The sequence below is a fragment of the Homo sapiens genome, chromosome 2, assembly GCF_000001405.40.
Source record: "Homo sapiens chromosome 2, GRCh38.p14 Primary Assembly".
NCBI classification, from domain to species: Eukaryota; Metazoa; Chordata; class Mammalia; order Primates; family Hominidae; genus Homo; species Homo sapiens.
In genome coordinates this window covers 86,319,403-86,339,236 of record NC_000002.12, presented here as the reverse complement: position 1 = coordinate 86,339,236, position 19,834 = coordinate 86,319,403, and the positions used below count along the sequence as shown (strand labels likewise).

At 47.3% G+C, this 19,834-nt stretch overlaps 1 protein-coding gene across 11 annotated transcripts in view, besides 1 other annotated feature; it reads left to right on the top strand.

Annotated features, from left to right (window-relative positions):
* The window catches only part of REEP1 (receptor accessory protein 1), a 124,091-nt gene continuing 105,410 nt past the window's right edge, over positions 1,154–19,834 (top strand). For 7 of the 11 annotated variants that reach the window (NM_001164731.2, NM_001164732.2, NM_001371280.1 and 4 more), the window contains exon 1: positions 1,611–1,758. In NM_001164731.2, coding sequence (NP_001158203.1) covers positions 1,735–1,758 — 24 coding nt within the window. In that variant the 5' untranslated portion in view covers positions 1,611–1,734. Of the gene's footprint in view, positions 1,214–1,610; positions 1,759–2,103; positions 2,516–19,834 lie in introns of those variants that run through there. The other 4 variants (NM_001164730.2, XM_017004725.2, XM_017004726.2 and 1 more) reach the window with 4 other exon arrangements.
* Positions 14,582–15,083: an enhancer, noted in NCBI's record as "H3K27ac hESC enhancer chr2:86551277-86551778 (GRCh37/hg19 assembly coordinates)". NCBI's record gives its function as "activates a minimal SCP1, AML or CMV promoter by ChIP-STARR-seq in naive H9 embryonic stem cells {active_cell/tissue: H9 hESC(naive)}" and the evidence as "EXISTENCE:reporter gene assay evidence [ECO:0000049][PMID:30033119]".

Below are 19,834 nucleotides of genomic sequence, written 5' to 3'. Positions count from 1 at the left end.
AAACTGGGTCAAGGCAGCATGAAAAAACTGCTACATTACAGCTATTTTATGGGTTCTTTGGAGACCTGAGATATGAGAGCATGTCTCATCTGCAGTCCCTTTGTTGTCCGTGAAGTCTTTCTTCTGACTATATCAGGCACACGCACGCACAGATTCTGCTACATCTGAGAGTACTAAGCTGTCTCCTGCGCTTCTCACATCTGACACTGAATTATACATGACACCATCATCAGCAAAGGACAGGGCGCTGGGAGCACCACGCAGAACCTAAGCTATTGGAGGGTGGGAAAAGCAGCAGCAGAGCCTAGGAGTAGAGGACAAAGCGTTTCCAGTGTAACAGAATAATGTACTATCTGCGGCCGGGACTAGGGTGAGCAGAGTGAGGCGCTCAGTGAGGGTGCAACATTTAAGAGGTGCCATAAAATTCAGCAACTAAAATACATAATAGGTGGCTCACTCCTGTAATCCCAGCACTTTGGGAGGCCAAGGCGGGCGGATCACGAGGTCAGGAGTTTGAGACCAGCCTGGACAACATGGTGAAACCCCGTCTCTACTAAAAATACAAAAATTAGCTGGGCGTGGTGGCGCACTCCTGTAATCTCAGCTACTCATGAGGCTGAGGCAGAAGAATCGCTTGAACCCGGGAGGCGGAGCTTGCAGTGAGCCGAGATCGCGCCACTGCACCCCAGAGCGAGACTCTGTCTCATAAAAAAACAACAACAACAAAAAAAACCACCATAATATTTAATACGGTATTTTAAAAAATACATAAAAACGTTTATATAGGGTGCACAAGTTCCCTTTTGCCTAAGAGTTCAACGTGGCTCAGCGGGGCACTGGTGCTAAGCAGTCGCAGCTTCTAGTCTCCTCCTAGGGCCCGGAGCAGCCCCCAAGGAAAGGCCTTCCCTAGGAAGAAGTAGCCCTTCAGCCCAGCCTAGAAGAAGGAGCTGAATCAAACCAAGGCAGGACGATGAGGCGTGGCGTGTACTGACAGGGAAGAAGAAACAGCAAATATTTGAGTCCAAGATGCCTGGAGGGAAAAGAGCTAGAGGACTATTTGGGGGAATGGTCTTGGCAACACGGTTCTAGGCAGGTACCACGATCATATAGGGACTCTGTAGAATTTTAAGTAGGGAGGCAAGCGCCCAGGTTTGTTTCTTATGCAGAAAGTGCTGAGCAACGGACAGACTGAAGAGGTTAGGTCTGGATCCAGGTAAACCCTTTATGAGGCTAACGCACTAGCTGAATGAGGGATGACAGCATCCCACCTAGACAGGTGCAGACAGATTCCCGAGGTTCAGGTTCGGACTTCAGTTTCTCCGCTGGAACGCTGAGGGTGGGGCAGCACCCGGGTCCCTGCCCTGCAAACGGGGCCGCTGCAGGGTTCCTTTGGCGGGGCCGGTGCCCCGGGGAGCGCGCAGGACGCGCCCGCCTTCAGCCGGGGGCCAGGGCGAGCGGGACGGGGCGGGCCCGCGGGTGCCCTGACCAGCTCACCGCCCAATCGCTGCGGGCCCGCCGAGCCCCGGGGGGCTGGGGCCGCCGCCGCCGCCGCCAGAACGTGCCGCGGCTGCGCCAACGCGCGAACGCCGGGCAGGGCGGCGGGCGCGCTCAGTCTGGCGGCGGCTGCCGTGAGCTGACTGACGTTCCGGGAACGCCGCAGCAGCCCGCGCCGCCCGCAGCCTAGCCGAGCCGCGCCGCCCGGGCCTCGCCCGCCCGCCTGCCCGCCATGGTGTCATGGATCATCTCCAGGCTGGTGGTGTAAGTGGCCTTCTCCCCCGCGCCCCTCCGTCCCCTCCCTCCCCGCCCCCGGCCCCGGGCTGCGCGCGCCCCTACAGCGCCCGGTCCCAGTGGCTCGGGCTATTAATACCCGGCGCAGCTAAATTTAGCAGGTACAGTAGCCGCCGAGGACGCCTGCGGGCGGACGGGCGGCGCAGGACGCGGCTGCTGCCCAGGAGGCAGCCGGCGCCGGCGGCCGCTTGCGGGGGGCTGGGCCGGGACGGCGAGGGCTGGGGCGCTCGGGGGTTCCGTGGGGGCTGCGTCTCGCCGCGCGCTGGCCGCTTTGTTCCTCAGCTCGGTCGATTTGCAGAGGCCCCGAATGGGCGCACCGCGGACACGCGTCTCTCTCCTTTGGCAGAAATGTGAGGTCGCCCGGCGCCGCGCCCCGCCGCCCCAGCTTTTGTCAGGTGGAAAGGACAGCGCAGACGAACCAGGGGCGCTGCCTGGAGGGTCAGCGCGGAACGGGTGGAGAGGCAGAGGCGGGGCTCCCAGTGGGGTTGGAAAAATCCTCCTTTTTAGGTGTCTGCATCGACAGCGGCAAAGGCAGCTGGGACATGGGAAGACGCATGTGAATCTTGGAGTAAACGCCTGGAGCCCCCGGCTCCGACTCCTTTTGCAGGGGATTGAGAGACAGGGGCAGGTACCTCCAGGAATGCACGGGAAATTTTCAAGTGACAGCCACCCGCATGGTGGCGATGACACCTCCCAGGCCTTGCAGGAGAGCGCAGAGTCATCTAGGGTGAGGTCTGTGTGAAGTCATTGGGGGTGGGCGTGGGGGCCGATTTTCTCCTTCAAGCCCCAGGACCTGTAGGCGTTTGAAGAGCTTCCCCGGTGGATTTATTCTCCTTTGGAGATAGACGTGGCTGTTCCAAGTCCCTGTTCTTCCCTAACCATCCTGGCCTGAGTCAGAACAGATTTGCCACCTGCTGTAGCTAGCAGGGGCTGAAATGGGTGTGGGGAGTCTAAGGCGGGGAGGAGGGTGGCAGGCACCTCGGGCTTTTTCTTTGTCTGAGAACACGGGGCTCTGGACCCCAGTGATTGTGCACCATCACTCCCCACGTTTTGAAACACCACCCATCTCCCTTCCCTTCTTTACTGATTTTCCCTTCCGAAGTGGATCTCAGCATTGTCTCCCGCCACCATTCAGGGCTTTCCTCCCAAAGCCAGTGTCTGTGCCTCTCAGCCCCCAAGTCATTCCGTGAAGGCCTCTCCACAGCTGTTCCTGACTGCGGGGTGTTTGCGCTGCACCTTGAGGTGGCATGTTAAATATTTAGAAGATTTCTGCTGGCAGAGCCGACATGAATAATACAGGAAAGTGGCTGACACGCCTTGCCCAGCCTCATGCCTGACCAACACTGTCTTGCCTTCAGGGTGGTGTTTCCTCTCTGGGATCGATATTGCCAGTGGCTTCTGGGAAGCCCTCAGGGTGGGGCTGGAGAGTTGAGCTGGCCTGGCTGGTGGGCTCTCTGTAGGTCCTGCTGGGCTGGGAGTGAGGGCATCTGATCCTGGGTCATGTGACTATCATTAGTTTTATTAGCACTGGGTCATGTGACTATCATTAGTTTTATTAGCACCTCCCTCACCCCTGCCCTTTTTTTTTTTTTTTTTTTGAGACCGAGTCTCGCTCTGTCGCCCAGGCTGGAGAGTGCAGTGGCACAGTCTCGGCTCACTGAAGCCTCCGCCTCCTGGGTTCAAGCGATTCTCCTGCCTCAGCCTCCCGAGTAGCTGGGATTACAAGCGCCTGCCACCACGCCCAGCTAATTTTTGTATTTTTAGTAGAGACGGGGTTTCACCATGTTGGCCAGCCTGGTCTTGAACTCCTGACCTAGTGATCCGCCCGCTTCGGCCTCCCAAAGTTCTGGGATTACAGGCGTGAGCTACCACGCCCGGCTCCTCCCCCTTTTTTACAATGAGCAACTGATGGGGGTGGAGAGGAGAGGCATATATTTGGGAGGTGTCTCAGGGATGTGCTGTTGCTTTCTAAAACAACCACACTCCCTAGAACCGAGACTTCAGAGAATTTAAATGAACAGCATTATGTGGCCCAAGGAGAGTTGATGGGATTTGGGATTGTTACTTCCACTATCAAGTCCAAAAGGTCAGGGATACCACTTATCCCCCAGTCCCTAATTCCCTGTAGAAACCTAGCATAAGCATATTGATTATGAGTTATGAACATCATTTTTAATAAGCAATACCTGTTTCATGAAGACAATATTTGTTAATTACAGGAAAATTAGAAAAGATAAACTGAAAATCATCCACATTTCCACCACACAGAGATAACTAATAATAATGATGGAGGGCATATTCTTCAAGAAATTTTCCTGTATTGCATATATGTACATATATTTGTAATTCAAGGATATTATTGATTCAGCCCAATATTCTACACTCCACATACCTTGAGGAACTTCTTATCAAGGGGAGGAATACTGTGTTTGGAGTCAGAACGCCCATGGTTCAAATCCCAGTTTTGCCTCTTGCCAGAAGATCCCAGTTCACAACTCAGATCAGAGCAGATGCTAGTCCACAGCTAGTTAACCTCATGTTGCTGTTGCAAAGATTTCCATGACACTTGATATATAAATTGCCAAGCACCACGGAGAGCACTAAATCAATGATGAGTCCCTCCTTCTGTCCTCCCCGGGAACCCTATGAGAGGGGCTCTCAGACTTAATTTACTCCTGTGGTTTTCAAACTGGGTTCCCTGAGGGCCACCCAGCCTGAGCAGATGGGCTCTGGGCTCCTCATCCCTGATTCAACCCAAGCAGTTCCCTTTTTGTTTGTCTTATATATTGGGGTTCTAGATAAAATACAATTCAGAAAAATATATGTGTTTTACTGCTAATAAAAACAACTGATCTAGTCCTCCCCCTCATCTGTAAAACTGCAGAGGAAATATGCCTTGCTCAGGGACACAAGATGAGCTGGTGAAGAAAACAGGCTCTGGATTTTTAGTCCAGTCCAGTGCTTTTTCCACCTTCACTCCCCACTGAGAAAAACATCTCTTTCAAGCTCCCTAGACCTCTGGTATGGGAGCATCCTATGGTTTTATCCGCGAGTCACGTTTTGTATAAGTAATCTTTTCATGGTTTTGTAAGCCTCTGTCACATCAAAGAACATGTAAGGAAGACCTATCACTGTGTTGTGAGGATAGAGAGGGAGTGTCTTCCTGTCTTTGTGTGGTCCCAACCATCCGACCAGAGGTATCACAACAAGCTGATGGCCTCCAGGGACAGCCAGCCAGTGCTCGTGGTTGTCTCTGCTGCTACTGGCCGTGAGCATTTTGAAGAAAGCAATTGTGGCTTGTTTCCCTTTACAACCGCTTTATCCCTGCCATGGGTCTTTCACAAAGTATCTGGCACCTGAATGCACTGAGTGAAGGTTGGTTGTGTTGAAGGAAATCCTAGGCCCTGGGGACAAGCAGAGTGGCTGGCTACTGCTGTCCCCTGGGGACGGAGGTCAGCAGGCATCAAGACAGGCTTGTGCCCACGGGCAAGGCTCTTAGAGTGAGGACCAGTTTGAGATGCTTATTTCTTGCCAGCTCTCTTTCTCCTAACTTCCTTGGCTCAGCCTGTAAAGAATTAAGGAAGAGATACTCAGTGCAATAGCACTCAGAACCAGGTTGATACCTTCATGGGACACAGGGGCTTATTTAGGACTTGCCTGCTTGCCTCCTTTCATTTTCTTTACATACAACTCAAGGCCTAGGCATGAATGAATTTCAAACTGGGGAGAGCATGTTTTTGTGCACCCTTTTGGAGGGGGGATACCAACGTTGCTCTGTGACTTCTTGGAAGAATATGCCATTTTGAAGCATTATTCTAAGGAGCAGGTATTGCCTCATTGTCTTGGCCAAGGCCCAGAATGTTGGCTGAACGGATCAAGAGCTTCTCACCCCTTATGGGATTAGTAGACTAAAACCCCAGCTCACTACATGGGGGAAAGAGAGTTCTAAGTCCACAGAATTTTCTGAATAACTAATGGCTGTGCAGAAAACATTTTATTTCCACATTGCACATTTTAAAAAATACTAGTTTTTAGAAAATACAGTGTGATGATCAAGACAGAGTCTTAGTTTGATGGCTGAAGATCTGGCTAAGTTCCAGGACTGGGATTTGGAGCATGAAGTCTGTCCTGGGTCAGGGATGTGCAAATGGATGGAGCTGGGAGGAATGTGGATTGTCCTCAAGATGTTCCCCAACTGTTGCAAAACAAATGGAAAAAAAAGAAAATATCGTAAATCCTTAAATATAAGCTAGCTTTTCTTTGGGGCCTGCTTTTAAAATGTGGCATGCAGGAAACTGATTCAGTTAATGGAGGGTTCCAGTTGGTTGAGGATTGATTTCCTGGCACTGTGCTGTAGTACACTGTGGGAGCTGGGTAAATGTTTCGGTTGAATTGTGAAAGGAAAGATGTTAGGCTAGTAGGCAGCAGACATGGGTTCTAGTCCCAGTGCTGGTCTGACTCACTATCACAGTCCTAAGGGCAACTCCCACCCACCTGGGCCAGCTCCCTGTCTAAGAGACAGGTTTTTGGCCACAGTCACCTTGCAGGTCCTAAGAGCTCCAAGAGTCAGTGTTCCTCTAGGTCCCTTCCTTCCCCAGCTGGCCTGTATGCATCACATTTATTTATAAACAGGAGGAGTATCCTCAAGGAAGTGAAAAATACTAGCTTAGATTTCTCCGCTGTTGAGCTGCCCTGTTTCTTTGTTTGCTAATCCTGCCTGTCTGCTGAGAAGTAGCTTTCATGCACTTCTTCCCACTGTGTCTTATTTGAGGTTAGCTGACAAGTGAGGGTCTCACCTAGTTATTACTGGGTCAGTCTCCCCACTTCCTTCTGAAGCCCGCTATCTTTTTTGGAGGGTGTATTATGTCGGGGGAGGAGGAGCCCTGGGGAGAATGAGGGAAGGGGGACTCAGGTCCTCTTTGGCCATTTAGTGAGGCTGCTGTTTTGTGTACGTATGAGTGTATGTGAGTGAACGTGTGTGTGTGTGTGTGTGTGTGTGTGTGTGTGTGTGTTTCCAGGAAAGTTAGGGAGGCTAGGGAAAGGAGAGATATGGCAGTGCAGCAGCCATAGCACGTGGCACCTTTAGAATTTCACTGCCAGGGATGAGCCACACACATGCCCAGCTGGTTACCAGAATTCTTAGTCTGGGGGAGTTTTTCCAACCCCCGAAAAGAAGTAAGGAGAGGGGGGTGCACTTGGGCACTAAGGATGTTCTCCTCTCGATTCTGGGCCTTGGGAAGGGAATTGGGATTCTTGAGGAACTGGAAGTTGGATCATTATATTCAGAGTATTTATTCTGAATTTTCAGATCTCATCTGTCTTTATACAGAAGCACATTATTTTCACTTTGGGATTTTTAAGTCACACTGGGGCTTCCCTGGGAATACAGGGAAAAAGGAAATATAGATCAAGGACCAACTATTGGGCACACAGTAGGGATTTCAGAAGGAATCTTGAAAGGTAATTTGGTATAGGCCTTCAAGCATGCGTGGGTACCCAGACCAGGATGGCAAGTGAGGCTGCCTAGGACACTGTCTTGAGGAGCAAGAAGCTGAGTTAGGCTCAGTGGGGAAGGAGTCCCAAGAGTGCTTTATGCAGGGAAGATGGCAATGGGGCACATGGGTTGGTTCAGTATTTGCTCTTCCACACTTAGCTCATTCCTGATCAGAAAAGGTCTGCCCCATTGTCAGATTTACTAGATTAGTAAACAGAGAGCATCTGTTATTTGAGTTAACATCTCCTCCTGACATCCTATCTCTCCCTCTCCCCGTGGCCTTGTCAGTCACCTGGCAGTTCTAGGACAAAGGTGCCTCCTGTTCCCACTCTAGGTAGCTGTCCAGCCTAGAGGCTGTCTTGCCCTGCTTCTCTTTCCTCTTAGGACTATCCTGCGTATCTATACTACATTCCCCGCCCCCCCACCTTTTTTTTTTCCTTTCACTGATCACAGCTCAAAGTCTGCCTTAGGCATTCTCCTGCATACTTAGGTGTGTATATCCTTTCCCCCTCTTTGTAGGGGACTCTGGATAGTACTTTGGGCTGCAAAACTAGTTTTCCATTCCCTTCTGGTAGCATGCTGCATCCTGCCTCCCTTCACTCAGCCACAGAAGTCAGCATGTGACCCAGGCCTAGATATGCATTTCCCTGGGCACAGACATTGGTCCAGAGGTGGGCAGGTGACCCAAACTGAGATCCTTCCCCAGGGTTTCTTGATTTGGAGCTGAGGGAGAATAGCCTTGCCTATGGGTTCCAGAGTTGGGAAGATATGAAGTTAGGGCTGAGGCATCTAAAGCCCCTGGCATACGTGGAGAAAGTCCATAAGTAAAAGTGAAGAATACAACAAAGCAAAAATAAATGGAGATGAGACTTGGGTGAGAGAAAGAGGCTGGCACAAGAGAATCTTGGTTCTGGTTGCTCGGGCCCCAGTTCCTGCAGCTGCTTTTTTGATGCCATGAACTGTCCGATATCCTAGAATGAAAACTTTAAATGCTGCTTATAATCCATTAAATATTTGTTGTTCGGATGGACTGGGGTATGCTGCAGGAACAACTCCCAAATCCCAGTGGCTCAAGAAAACAAAGGTTTATTTCTTGCTTTCTGCTGCCTGTTACTGTGGGTTGGCAGGGGTACTCTGCTCATCGCATTCACTGAGAGTCCCAGGCTGACTGGATTTCCTTTGTCTTATCGTTATAAGACATCAGGATTCTGGCTGGGCACGGTGGCTGACCGTGTAATCCCAGCACTTTGGGAGGCAGAGGTGGACAGATCACTTGAGCCCAGGAATTTGAGACCAGCCTGGGCAACATGGCAAAACCCCATCTCTACAAAAAAAATACAAAAATTAGCTGGGCATGGTGGTGTGCACCTGTGGTCCCAGCTACTTGGAGGATGAGGTGGGAGGATCACTTGAGCCTGGGAGCTGGAGGTTGCAGTGAGCCGAGATCATGCCACTGCACTGAGCCTGAGCAACAGAGTGAGACCCTGTCTTAACACACACACACACACACACACACACACACACACACACACACACACACCAGGATTCACTGTGGTAGGGAGAGTCACATACTAGCTCATAAGTACCTGCACCTGGAGATGATAACATGCCATTTCTGCTCACATGTCATTGGCCAAACCTGAATTCAAGTGGTTACACTCCTCACTAAAGAACAGCCCTAATGACCAGCATATATGTTGAATGAATGACTCCTAACCAGCTTTGCAAACCTAGAAATGTCCTTGGCATAATATGGTATTGTGCAACTGGGAGAATCCTGACATACTCCTTCAATCTCTACACTAGAAATATCTTTCTCACTTCCCTTTTAGTCCCTTTATTCTGTTCGTGAGTCAAGAAAGGAGGTCTTAAGTCTGAGGAGAAATTAGCAATTACAAAGAACCGATGCCATTCCATAGCTAAAGCCTTGGAAGGTGCCCTCTGGCTTTCACTACACTCTCCATACATGTCTCTACCTTTCTCCATGAAGCCTCTCCTAGGTCCCCTAACCAAGAAAGATTTCTGTCCTCTGGGTCTCCAGAGTGGCATTGTCACTTTGTTCCTGGTGCTATAGTGGTCTGTGCGTTGATATCCCCTTACAGACCACATCTGCTTCGTCTCCCTTATAGTTTCTCATATGCAGTAGGTGCCCAGCGAGTGCGTGTTGGGTGGTGAATGAGTCAGGACCTCACTCCTCAGAGTGTGGTCTGTGCACCAGCAGCATTGGCATTACTGGAATAGTTAGGAATGCAGAGTCCCAGGCCTGGTGAATCTGCATTTTAACAAGATCCCCATAAAGCCTGAGAAGGGCTGAGTCAGGAGACAGGGTGCCATCATGTCCCCTGTGAATTGAAAAGAGATGGACTTGCCTGAGGTTTTCATTATTGTCTGTGGACCTTGGACCTGGGATTCAATTGCAAGCCACCATTTGTGCTAGACTGTCATTCATGCTTTCTGGTTCTGAGAGGTTCTGACCCCAAGTTTTTATGATGAGTTCTAAATAGCATATCTAGACTCTGTCAACCCAGTGCCCAGCCAAGAACCTTTTGATATGGACAGGAGGCAGGGAAACACTGGATAGAAGAGGGCAGTTCCCTGGCAAAGGCCCCACCCTCAAGCCTGGAAACTGCGGCCCTAAATGAGAACAGTTATCCCTGTTTTCCTGCCCAAATATTGCTTTTTCCAAAACCACTCTGGCTCGCCACACCCCGCATCCTGTATCCATAAAAACCCCAAACTCCACTGGCAGAGAAGCAGAGTGGCATGGCAGAGGAGAGAAGAGAAGCATCTGAACGTTGAGAGGAGTTTGGCCAGGGATGGCCGCACTCCAGGGGAAGATTATCTTCCCACTGTATCCCCTTTCCAGCTCCCCATCTCACTGAGAACCACCTCCATCACTCAATAAAATCTCTGCATTCACCATCCTTCAAGTCTGTGTGACCTGATTCTTCCAGGATGCCGGGTTCTTCCTGGAACCCGGGTACCAAGAGGGCAGGGTATAAAAGACTGTCACCCTGACTCTCCACTGAGCTGGTTAACAGCCATCTGCAGACGGCAACTGCTAAAACAGCATTAATTGTAACACACCCCTAGACGCTGCCACGGGACCAGAGCCCAAAAGTGCTCACCCCAGCCCTGGCACCTGCTCACCTGCATGCTTCCCCTCCTGCAAGGGGTTTGAGCACTGCAGGCCGAGTAAGCAAGCCACACCCCTGTCACAAGTCCCACAGAGGGGTCAAGGCAGCCCTCCTGTCTCACTTTCTTTTTTTTCTTTTTTAAGATGGATTCTTACTCTGTCGCCAGGCTGGAGTGCAGTGGCACCATCTTGGCTCACTGCAGTCTCCACCTCCTGGGTTCAAGCAATTCCCCTGCCTCAGCCTCCCGAGTAGCCGGGACTACAGGTGCCCGCCACCACGCCCAGCTAATTTTTTGTATTTTAGTAGAGACGGGGTTTCACCATGTTGGCCAGGATGGTCTCGATCTCCTGACCTCGTGATTCCTCACCTTGGCCTCCCAAAGTGCTGGAATTACAGGCATGAGCCACTGGGCCTGGCCTCCTTTCTTACTTTCACAGATTGGCTGCCTAATTGTGATCAGTGTAAAATTTAGTCTTGTCACAACTAGGGCTTAGACTGCCAAAGCTATGCCTGTGAGACAGAATATTGGGCTGAGTGGGTCACGCTGCTCAGAGGAGAGGGAATACAACCCACCTTGAGAAAGAGGCTAGTGAGCCTGGCCAGCTGATGCTGGAGATTCACGTTGGATTTCCAAGAACATGCAAGGACTTTTTCTCATGAGCACCTGAAGCTGAGAACCACGAGTCCACACGTGCCCCTCCTGAGGGAGTTGCAGGATCCAGCAGGATCTGTGCACACTTCAGGCTGCGTGTTGTGGAATCCAGGCTCTCAGCAAGTTCTCCTAGCTCTGCCTTCAAAATACTCGCCTGTCTACCCATGACTCCCACCTCCACCACTGCCACCCTGCTCCAACCAAATACTGTTGCTCTCCTGGACCATTGAAAACCCTCCTGACTGTTTTCTCTGCTTCTATTCCTGTCCCTCCGGTGATCTCATTAAAATGTAAGATAGGGCCAGGCACGGTGGCTCATGCCTGTAATCCCAGCACTTTGGGAGGCCGAGGCGGGCAGATCATGAGATCAGGAGATCCAGACCATCCTGGCTAACACGGTGAAATCCCGTCTGCACTAAAAATACAAAAAATTAGCCGGATGTGGAGGCGGGTGCCTGTAGTCCCAGCTACTCAGGAGGCTGAGGCAGGAGAATGGCGTGAACCTGGGAGGCAGAGCTTGCAGTGAGCCGAGATCACGCCACTGTACTCCAGCCTGGGCGGCAGAGCGAGGCCCCATCTCCAAAAAAAAAAAAAAAAGTAAGATAGACCATCTTTCCCCTGCTGTTTAAAAACTGCTCCATCTCACTAAGAGTAAAACTCAAAGTCCTTACCATTGTCAACAACACTCACCAAGGTCTGGCTCCTGCCCACGCTCTGACCTTACCTTGCAGTGGCCTCCCCTCTCTCACTCAGCTGCAGCCTCCTCACTATTCTTAGAAGGTGGCAAGCTTGTCCCATCCAGCACCCTTTGCACATACATATATTAATAATATATATTATTTCTATAATAGAGCTACCAGTTAGAGACCTTAGAATAAGTCTTTTTTAAAATGAAAAAACAAATAAAGCAAAGAAGTGAAAATATAAGAAAACAGCATATCCTGGGGGAGGGAAATAAGCCCATGTGGAAAAGAAGCACTTCTGGAAGTAAAAAATAAAGTGTTGACATTAAAAATCCAATGACTAGGTTAAAACAGTGAAGGATTGAATGCCAAGAAGGTAGTGTTTTTCACACTGCATCTTAGAGCTAGAAGGAGTCTTGGTGATGTCATGCCCTTGTTCGACAGACAAGGAAGATGGGGACCCACAGAGATAGGTGATCTGTCAAAATCACTAGCCCGATTGGCTAGGCCAAGAGTTAAGGCCAGGTGTCCATGTTCTGAAAATGTTTTAATGTGGGAAAGAGAGTAAGCTTGTTTTATATGGGTAGAGAATTGGACTAGAACCTGTGGGTGGCTAGAAGATAAATCTTTGGCTTGCTGGAAGGAAAAGGTTTCCAGTAGTTGGCACTGACAGCACTGGGCTGCCTTGTGAGGCAGGGAGCTCCTGGCTTCCAACCCTAAAACTGTCCAACCCTAAAACTTTATGATTTTTTATTTTTTATTTTTTTTTTGAGATGGAGTTTTACTCTTGTCGCCCAGGCTGGAGTGCAATGGCATGATCTTGGCTCACTGCAACCTCCGCCTCCCGGGTTCAGGCGATTCTCCTCCCTCAGCCTCCTAAGTAGCTGGGATTACAGGCATGCACCACCATGCCTGGCTAATTTTGTATTTTTAGTAGAGACGGGGTTTCACCATTTTGGTCAGGCTGGTCTTGAACTCCTGACATCAGGTGATCTGCCCGCCTTGGCACCCCAAAGTGCTGGGATTACAGGCGTGAGCCACCATGCCTGACCAAAACTTTATGATTTTAATCTTTTTCCTTATACTGGTTAAGGAAGAGAGAGAGAAGAACCACTAAAAATATTTCCTTTTTCAGTGATTGGACTTCTGTCCTTGCTCAAGACTGATTGATTGATTCATAGCTTGGTCAATTTATTCATTGATGTACTGCTCATTTTTTTGACCATTTGATGCATGCCAGCCACCAGGGATATAAAGATGAATAAGTTCTGATTCCATCTTTGAGAAGTTTATGAGGTCACATAACCAGTCACTGGGAAACTGGGACTTGAATTCAAGTGTCCCTCTGCCTGCCCAGTGCTGTTTCCATTGGGTGGATATTTTGTGGGTGTGTGTGAATGACTTGTCTGGCTTTGGTTGGAAATTGTAGGGATAAGTCCTTTCAGCAGGGGAAGTGGTACATCTCACATATGAAGGAATTAAACCACTGCTTTGTCTTCCTACCGGGGGGACACTGTAGCATCCAATGTTGGAGAGAAGAGAAGGCAGAGGACAGGGTGTGCTAAGTGGGAAACAATCTGAGACGAAGAGGTGGGTGAAGTCAAGCATCCTTTCCCACTGTTTTAGTCTATGATTGCTGCTGTAACAGGTAACCATGAATTTAGTGGTTTAAAACAACAGAGGTTTCTTCTCTTGCAGTTCTGGAAGTCAGAAGTCTGAAATGACTCTTTTGGGGCTAAAATCAAGATGTTGGCAAGGCTGGTTCCTTGTGGAAGTTCCAGGGGACACTCCATTCCTTGCTTCTTCCAGCTTCTGGTGGCTGCCGGCATTCCTCGTGGCTGCATTACTGTAGTCTCTGCTTCTGTGATCACACTGTCTTCTGTTCTGCCCTTACATCTTCCTCTTAGGACACTTGTGATTACATTTAATCACATTTAATCACAAATCAAATAGGGCCCACTTGAATAATCCAGGATAATCTCCCCATCTCAAAATCCTTAATTTAATTCTACCTGCAAAGTCCCTTTTACCTTATAAGGTAACATTCACGGGTTTTAGGAATTAGGACCTGGATATCTTTGCAGGCCATTACTCAGCTGACCACACCCAAGATCACAGGCCTTACTGCCTCCAGGCTGAGGGGAGTTCATCTAAGAACAACCTAAAGAAAGGGGAAACACACAAGGGAACACTTTGATGTTCTAACGTCTTTATCTTTTTTAAAATTTTTTTTAAAAGACAGGATCTCACTCTATTGCCCAGATTGGAGTACAGTGGTGAGATCACAGCTCACTTCAGCCTTGAATTCCTGTCTTCCAGCAATCCTCTTACCTCAGCCTCCCAAGTTGCTGGGATTATAGGTGTGAGCCACTGCACCTGGCTTCTAACATCTTATTTTGTCTCCGTTTTTGGGCTCTCCTTGATTTGCAAAAAGTAATTAATGAGGCAATAGAAAAGACTATTTATAAAGAAATGGTGGTGAGGGGATAATGGATAATAGTACAGTGAACCCTCATTTACTCATCGCCAGTTTAAGAACTAGAACACTACCTTTATTGTATGAATATACCATAATGTACTTATCAAGCAAACTGTTGATGAATGTTTAGGTTGTTCTAGATTTTTCTTTTGCACTCTCTCAGAAAGAGCGCTGCAGTGAGCATTCTTGTGTGTTTCCTGGTATACCTTTGCACAGGTTTTGTTAGGGTTAGTCTGGCTGAGGCAGAGGACAGTTGCATCTTCTACTTGATAACATAAATTAAGTTTCCATAGAAAAGGGGGCCTATCCTGGGGCTTTTTATCCTGTGTCATTGATCACTTTGACTGACCCTGCACCAACACCACACTGTTGTAATTACGTGGCGTGATGAAAATTCTTGATGTCCGGCTTGGCAAGTGCTCCACCATTTGTTCTTCATAAACTGTTCTCCAAACCCGTTTTCTTTCAGCAGTGGGTGCGATTCCATTTGCACAGTGTCTTTACCATCACTTGATACTCTCACACTTAGAATTTTTGCCATTCTGATGGGTACCAAGTGTAATCTCTTTATGGATTTAATTTGCATTTTCTGAACACTCATGAGACTGAGCATCTTTTCATATGTTTATTGGCCATTCATGTTCTCTCTTCTGTGAAGCGCCTGCTCAAGTCTTGCCAGTTTTTCTCTTGTCCTTATCTTATTGATTTGTAGGAGTTCTTTAACTCTTCTGGATGCTAAACTTCTGTCATTTATGTGTTACAAATGTCTTCTCCCAGTCTGTGATTTATTTTATCATTTTTTATAGTCTACATTGATAATCAGAAGTTCTTAATATTAATGCAATAGACAGCATTTTTTTTTTCGTTTATAGTTTTTGCTTTTTGTGTCCTAGGAAAATAAAATTGTGAAATTATTCTTCCATATTGCTCCTAGCAGTTTTCTAGTTTTTCTGTTCACATTTAATTTCTTACTCTACCTTGAGTTGATTTTTATATATGATGTGAAGCAGCAGTCTAATTTTTTTTCTTTTTTTCTTTTTTCTTCACATGAAAAGCCAGTTTTCCTGGCTCTATTTATTCAAAAGTTTATGCTTTCTCTTCAGACCTGCAGTGCCCTGCCCTGTCATAAAGTGAGTTTCTATAATGTGCAGGCCTGTTTCTGGGCCCTTCATTCTGTACCATTGAATAGTTCGTCTGCCTGCCACAGTGCCACGCTGTGTTAGTACCAGAACTTTATGAAAAGTCTTGATGTCTGGCGTGGCAAGTTCCCCACCTTGTTCTCCTTAAAGAGTGCCTTAGTGCAGTGGTCCCCAGCCTTTTTGGCACCAAGGACTAGTTTCATAGAAGACAGTTTTTCCATGGATGGGGGTTGGGGGGCAGTTTTAGGATGAAACTGTTCCACCTCAGATCATCAGGCATTCGTTAAATTCTCATAAGGAGCTGTGCAACCTAAGTCTCTCACATGCGCAATTCACAATAGGATTCGTGCTCCCATGAGAATCTAATGCCGCTGCTGATCTGACAGGAGGCGGAGTTCAGGTGGTAATGCTGCTGCTCACCTCCTGCTGTGCAGCCAGGTTCCTAACAGACCACAGACCAGTCTCCGTCCTTGTCTGCAGCCCAGGGGTTGGGGGCCCTGCCTTAGTGCTTTCTTCTCCCATAATACATGTTTAGAATTAGCTTAGAGTTATGTGTTACAGCACATACACAAACACACAAATCTGTTGTCATTTTTATTGGACTAGCATTTAATGTACGAAACAATAGAATATTGATGTTCTTTATTTATTTTTAATTTTTGGAGACAGAGTCTGGCTCTGTTGCCAAGGCTGGAGTGCAGTGGCACAATCATGGCACACTGCAGTCTTGACCTCCTGGGTGCAAGAGGTTCTCCTGCCCTGGCTCAGCCTCCCAAGTAGCTGGGACCACAGGTGTACGCCACTGTGCTTGGCTAATTTTTGAATTTTGTGTAGAGACATTGTCTCACTGTGTTCTCACTATTTTGCCCATGCTAGTCTTGAACTCCTGACCTTAAGCAATTCTCCCACCTCTGCCTGGCCTCCCAGGTGTGAGGCCTTTTATTTTTTTAGAGACAACATCTCACTCTGTTGCCCAGGCTGAAGTGCAGTGGGGAAGTGTACTGCAGCCTCAGACTCCTGAGCTTAAGGGATCCTTCTGGTCTCAGCCTCTCGAGTAGTTAGGACTATAGGTGTGCACCACCACGCCCAGATAATTAAAAAAAAAATTGGGGGCCAGGTGCAGTGACTAATGCCTGTAATCCTAGCACTTCGGGAGGCTGAGGCAGGTGGATTCCTTGAGCCCAGAAGTTTGAGACCAGCCTGGACAACATGCTGAAAACCTGTCTCTACCAAAATAAATACAAAAATTAGCCAGGCATGGTGGCACACACCTGTGGTCCCAGTTACTTGGGAGGCTGAGCCAGGGCAGGAGAATCTCTTGCACCCAGGAGGTCAAGAGTAGCTGTGGTCCCAGCTACTCAGGAGGCTGAGGTTGAAAGATGCTTAAACTCAGGAAGTCAAGGCTGCAGTGAGCTGTGATGGTGCCACTGCATTCCAGCCTGGGTGACAGAGCAAGACTCTGTCAAAAAAACAATCTTTTATTTTTAGAGATAGGTTCTATCTCTTTTGCCCAGGCTGGTCTTGAACTCCTGGCCTCAAGCAATCCCCCCACCTCGGCCTCCCAAAGTGCTGGGGTTACCAACATGAGCCACCATGCCTGGCTGATATTGATGTTCTTAATATGTTTGTTGCACTCCATGTATATGGTATCTACCTTTATTTATTTGGGTCTTCTTTAATGACTTTCAATAAAATTTTATAATTTTGCTATAAATGTCATACACATCATTTGTTAGATTTATTCCCAGGTATTTGATATTTGTTGATGCCAGTGTATTTAGTATCTTAATAAAATTTCATCTTCCAACTGTTGGAAGAATACAACCTTGCTTACCTGTAGATTCTTTTTGGTTTTCCAGATAAATAGTCATGTCATTTGAGAACAGTGTGGCGTTGTGCCTTTCTGGTCATTATTCTTTTTTATTTCCCCATTTTACCCTGGTTAGGATTCCCAGTGCATGATGACTAAAATTGGTGAGGCAGACACTCTTGTCTTGTTCCTGACTTAAAAAGGGATGCTTCAACATTTTCCCATAAAGTATCATGCTTGCTGTAGGGTTTTCAGAAATATATTTTGTCACTCTCAAGTGATAGTTTGCTAAGAGTTTTCATAATGAATGATATTATATTTTATCTAACACTTTCATTGAGACAATGTGATTTCTTTTTGGTCTTTAGTCTAAGTGGTAAATTGCATTAATTAATTTTACCATTAAACCAAACTTGCCTTCCTGGATAAACCCAATTTGGTCATGAAGTTGTTTTTTCTTTTTTCTAGTTAAAATGATCCTGGAGGCGATTTGCTAATATTTAGGATTTTTTTTAAGCTATGTTTGTGAGTGGTATTGGCTATGTTATTTTTGTATGGTTTTGGTATCAAGATTGTGCTAGCCTCATAAACTAAGCTGGGGGTGTCTCATCTTTTTCTGTACTCTGAGATAGTGTGTGTAATATTGGATGTCTTTCTTAAATGGTTAGTAGAATTTGCCAGTAAACTGCTCAGAGCCAGGGGCTTTTTCAACAGGAAGATTTTAAACTACTGATTCAATGTATTTAATAGTTATAGGTTTATTTGATCTTTTCAGATCAATATTATTTTAGGACTTAATTCATTTCTGTAATTTTTCAAATTTATTTAGTTAACAATATTGCTTCTGCACCCTATTCCTTCTCCCCTCTTCTTCTAGCACTCTCATTAGACATGTGTTAGATGTTCCTACTCTGTCTTTCAAGTCTCTTCATTTTGGCCGGGTGCGGTGTCTCACACCTGTAATCCCAGCACTTCTTTGGGAGGCCAAGGTGGGCAGATCACCTGAGGTCAGGAGTTCAAGACCAGCCTGGTCAACATGGCAAAACCCCATCTCTACAAAATAGAAAAATTAGCCAGACTTGGTGGCGGGCACCTGTAATCCCAGCTACTCAGGAGGCTGAGGCAGGAGAATCGCTTGAACCCAGGAGGCGGAGGTTGCCGTGAGCCGAGATCGTGCCATTGCACTCCAGCCTGGGCAACAAGAGTGAAACTTTCTCAAAAAGTCTCTTCATTTCTTATTTCTGATTTATTTTTCTGTCACTGCTGCATTATGAATAATTGTGTGCACATCTGTCTCCTCAGCCATGTCTAATCAGCTGCTAAACATATCCGTTGATTTACAATTTTTTAATTATTAGATTCTAGAAATTCTATTTAGTTCTGTTTCAAAACTGGCCATATTTTATGATGTCTGTTCCTTCTACATATTTTAAATTCCTTTTTATTCCTTTAAACATATTAAACATATTTATGTTATGTTCGGAGTCTGATAATTCTAGCATCTAAACTATTTTTCAGGGGCAATTTAGATCTCTTTTTTTCTGGTGGCTCCCAATCAAGGTGCGTTATGTGTCTTGTAATTTTTTCTTTTCTTTCACTGTGAGCTTGTATTCCTTGGAATTTCATCTGTAGGAGTTCTTTAGGCCTGGGTCAAAGGTGAATTCCTCCAGGGAAGATTTGCATTTGCTTCGGTTAGGTGTCTAGGGACACTACCAATATTGGACTACTGAAAAGTAATTTCTTGAGATTTTAAAATTTTGACCACGTTGGTAGTGTAAATTTGGGCTGCAAACTTATGTGAGGATGAGGTTAGTGGTTACAAGTTTTCAGGGGAAATACGGTTTCCTCTTCACCTGCTGCTATGACTAGAGAATGGGTGTTTTTACTTTAACCTTTAGTGATTGCAGCAGGCTTCTCTCTCTTCACCCTTTTACTGATGTTGTAGTGCTTTGGGGTCTGAATTAGTTTCCTAGTGCTGCTGGCACACAGTGCCACAAACTGAGTGGCTTAAACTGACAAAAATTTATTCTCTCACAGTTCTGCAGACTAGAAGTCTGAAATCAGGGTGTACTATGCTTTCTCTGAAAGCTGTAGAGAAGAATCTGTTCCCTGCCTTTCTCTTATCTTCTGGAGGTTGTCAGCAAGCCTCGCCCTTCTTTGGCTTGTAAATGCGTCACTTTAATCTCTGCCTCCATTGTCACATGCTGTTCTCCTGTGTCTGTCTTTTTTCCTCTTTTATAAGGACACTAGTCATATTGGATTAGGGGCCACCCTAACCTAATGACCTCACCTTAGCTTGGTTATATCTGCAAAGACCCTTTTCTTTTTCTTTTCTTCTTTTTTTTTCGTTCTTTTCTTCTTTGGCAGAGTCTCACTCTGTCGCCCAGGCTGGAGTGCAGTGGCAGAACCTTGGCTCACTGCAACCATTGCCTCCTAGGTTCAAGTGATTCTCATGCCTCAGCCTCCCAAGTAGCTGAAACCAGAGGTGCACACCACCATGCCCAGCTAATTTTTGTATTTTTAGTAGAGACGGGGTTTTGCCATGTTGGCCAGGCTGGTCTCGAATTCCTGGCCTCAAGTGCTGGGGGTACAGGCGTGAGTGAGCCACTCTGCCCCGCCAAGACCCTATTTTTAAGTAAGATCACATTCACA